Consider the following 4,415-nt stretch of genomic DNA (forward strand, 5'->3'; position numbering starts at 1 on the left):
GTAAGTGGCAGTTTAGCGCATGGGATAATGTACCCGTCCTCATTTTTTCAGGTTGCCTTGCCCATTCTGGACATTTTGGCTGTAAGAATATTGGAAACAAAGGGGGGAACCTGGTTTAATCCATGTAGGTTGTGTTGAGAATTTCCTAGGAAAAGTAAGTTGTGCTTAGGAAGTAGGAAAGCAGTCAGGCCCCCGCTTCCCACGTACGGTCAAAAAGCAAACATGAGAGTCTGCTATAGTGAGATGGAAATGGCTAGCTTGCCTTTTTCTTGTCTATTTCATAGCCAAGGATGAAGGAAAAACTGGACCTCATTATGGATTTACTTTTGGGATACACTCATTATTCCAGAGGAGGGTAAAAGGCTGAGAAGCTTAAGGTATTTCAGTCTGTTTTATGTTACTCATTTGCGAAAAGCAGGCTCATCGAATACAGGTGAGTTTCAACGCGTCTTGAATATGGCAGCATTTAAAAGTCTTCAGACCAGGCATGGTGGCTCATGCCTGTCATCCCAGCACTTTGGGAGGCCAAGGTGGGAGGATTGCTTGAGGCCAGGAGTTCGAGACCAGCCTGTTCAGCATAGCAGGACCCCCATCTCTACAAAAACTAAACAGATTAGCTAGGTGTGGTGGTGTGTGCCTGTAGTCCTAGCTGCTTGGGAGGCTGAGGCAGGCGGATAGCCTGAGCACAGGAGTTGGAGGCTGCAGTAAGCCATGATTACACCACTGCACTTGAGCCTGGGCAGCAGAGTGAGACCTGTCTTTAAAAAAAAAAAAGGAGCTGGGCACGGTGGCTCATGCCTGTAATCCCAGCACTTTGGGAGGCCGAGGCAGGCAGATCACGAGGTCAGGAGATCGAGACCATCCTGGCTAACAGTGAAACCCTGTCTCTACTGAAAATACAAAAAAAATCAGCCGGGCGTGGTGGCGGGTGCCTGTAGTCCCAGCTGCTCGGGAGGCTGAGGCAGGAGAATGGCATGAACCCAGGAGTTGGAGCTTGCAGTGAGCCGAGATTGTGCCACTGCACTCCAGCCTGGGCGACAGTGAGACTGCTTCTCAAAAAAAAAAAAAAAAAAAAAAAAAAAGAAAGGGTCTTCAAAGACAATAAGATCTGTGCTCTCACGTAGGGTGGATGAGGGGCTGCCAAGTTAGCAATGAATGTTTCCCATTTCTTCTTAGTTTATGGACTTTCCATAAACTCAGGATGGCAGTTTGGTTGGTTGGAGAAGGATATGGTGATGGCGGGAGTTACAATACATTACTTATAGGGGAAGATAGGCTTTTGAAAGGTTAAAGCTTAAAAGTGAGAATGGAAAAGGGATGAATGAATGAACATGATGAGGTGAGAGGGAAGAGGTAAAGGGAAAAGGAGAACAAGCAACTCTTCTCTGCGTGGCACCTGGGATGAATGGTTTCTGGGGACATCCCTGATGGCAGTTTTGTGGAGAGGTGCAAAGCTTTATGTGTTAAGAAATGAGCTGTAGGCTCAGTGCAGTGGCTCACGCCTGTAATCCCAGCACTTTGGGAGGCCGAGGTGGGTGAAAAGAAAAAATGGGCTGGGCGCCGTGGCTCACGCCTGTAATCCCAGCACTTTGGGAGGCCGAGGTGGGCGGATCATGAGGTAAGGAGTTCGAGAGCAGCCTGGCCAACATGGTGAAACCGTGTCTCTCCAAAAAAATAGAAAAAACATCCCTGTATGGTGGTGAGCACCTGTAGTCCCAGTTACTCAGGAGGCTGAGGCATGAGAATCGCTTAAACCTCGGAGGCGGAGGCTGCAATGAGCTGAGATGGTGCCACTGCACTCCAGCCTGGGTGACAGAGCTGGGTGGTGGCTCAAGATATGTTTTGTAAACCTGAAGATTTGAGATCATATAAGCCAAATCGAAACTTAATTGGCATTCATAACTTTTGGTTCTAGAGACTCCATGATCAACTAAGAGCCACCAAACATTTCCCATGTAGACTATTTTGACCATGCTGACTCTACTGACACTGTGGTTACTGAATTCACTTTATCTCTAGAAATTAATTCTTACTAATGGATGTCTGTCACTGTAAGATCCTTCTCTCCTCTGAAATAAGGAGAACATTTTAACTTCAGTAGTTTAAACTAGTGTCCTAAACTATAGCATTCAAAATGAGATAATATGCTAAAGTAATACACAAACCAAAAATCCCAGTGGCTAACACAAAAAGTTTTTCTTACTCATTTTACATATCCAGGGTAAGTCAGTAATAGACGCAGACACACCCAGAGACCAAGGATGAGTTGTGATCTGTCTGCACACATAGTTCACAATGCCTGAGTGAGTTGTGCTTTGGCCTTTAAACTTCCACTCATGTTTAATTAATAAAGATTTTGCTCAAATGCCATTTGATGATGAGTTTCATGACGATGATCAACTTTAAAAGAACTTGGAAGTACAATCCTCAAGCGTTTCTGGAAATAGCAGAACTACAATATTTGAGAAAAATATTTTTTAATGTATAAAAAATTGGCAGGGTAGGCTAGCAAGCAAGAGACCTAGAGAAAAGTTGATGTTACAGTCTCAAGTCGAAAGGCAATCTGCAGGCAGAATTATTTCCTTGAGGGATCTCAGTCTTTTAATATAATCAATTGACTGGATGAGCCCTACAATATTTTGGAAAATAATCTGCTTTTCTCAGAAATTACTGATTTTCATGTTAATCTCATCTAACAATACTTTCAGAGCAACATCTATACTGGTATTTGAATATATAACTCTTTTATCTTTTAAAATATCAAATAATACAGTTATATATACATACACACATATGTATATATGTCACCTAAATTGTAGATATCAGAAATCAGAATGCTGTGATATGAATATTTAGTATATTTTAATCATGATAAATTATACATCCTTCTACCTTATGATAATGGATTTTAAGATCTATGCTGTTAAACTCTATATTTATCCTTTAATTCATATCTTGCTTATTTTACATTTATCTGAGAATACATTGGGTCTACTAAATCTTTACTATCATTCACAAGTCTTACATCTTAAGATAACTTTTCAATAAAATAAAAATTCTTCATTGCACCTAGAAAGGAGCAGGGTTTTGAAAGCGATCAATGATTACTCTGATACCTAATATAATAATATAATATAGTAAAAATCAAAATACTTGAATGAAAAATGTAAAATTAATAGTTTTGCTTTCATTGTTTTTATTCCAGTGTCTATTTTAGAATGTTTTTACTCTAATTGTGTTTTTATGCAAAACCAAATGAGCTTTAGATAATTCCATTGATACATTACATATGAAAGTTCTCGTTAAATAGGATATAGCATATTTTACTTAAAAATCCAAATTATAAAATAAAGAGGGATTTTAAGTTGAGTCTAAAATTTTTGTTTCAATTTTGTTTTTATTTAAAGACTTGCTATAATTCTGTGAGAGAGCTATAAAAGTCTGCTCAGAAACATTATAATGTAAAATGGACAGAGAAGGACAATGAGATATTTAATTTGCCACGGCAAAGCCATTGCTGTGAAGAATGGATAATATATGTCAATGGTAATATATGAAGAAATAACACAGGTGAATAGCAGAGGCAATAAATCTGTTTTTACCACAGGACTTGTCTTACACTTTTCTCTTAGTAATAAATAAAATAATTTTCGACCAGATGGAGCTGGCTTGAAATCCTCTTGTTTATGGCAGTACATATCGGTTATGATTCAAAAAATATAGCCCATTTCCAAAAACCTGCAACAAAGAGATACTTTCTCAGGTGAGTGTTCAGATCATTATTCATTACAAAGTGTCAGTTTTGTCTTTATTGATCCTCATTATTGTAAGAAAGTATGTGGTCCTGTCTCCATTCTATTAAAACAACATTGTAGAGATTAGCACTGAGTCTTTCCAGCCATGTGCATCTGTTCATTTCCGTCTCCAGCTTGAGTTTTTCTGTGTATTACAAAATAAGAAAACAAAAATGACACAATAATCTATTTTGTCTGGTTTTGCTCTTTATTAGTAGAAATAGACAAGTGAGGAGTTGGAGGAAGAAATTGCTTCTGATCTGTTTTAGATACAGGTGAAACTCTCCCTCCCTCCCCGCCCTACCCAGTCTTTCTCTGTCTCCCTCCCTGAGCCTATTCTTGCTTCTTCCCTTTACAAATAATTAACTGCTCAGGTCATGTTGAACCAAAAAATAGCGTCTGTAGCCCCTGTGTGCTTACTTTAAGTATATGTTACTGAAAAATGCGGAGTGAGCACTTAACAACTCATTCTCCTGGGAAGCACAGTGCTACTATACCCCAAATGCTTTTCTTTATCATTTTAATTTTTATCTTCTTTACTTACATTTCCAACATCAGTTAAGAGGGTCTTGTAGTTTTCTAACTGAAAGGAGACTGTAAAATCTCCTTGCTCAAAACTCA

This window comes from Homo sapiens, chromosome 5 (assembly GCF_000001405.40).
Source record: "Homo sapiens chromosome 5, GRCh38.p14 Primary Assembly".
NCBI classification, from domain to species: domain Eukaryota; kingdom Metazoa; phylum Chordata; class Mammalia; order Primates; family Hominidae; genus Homo; species Homo sapiens.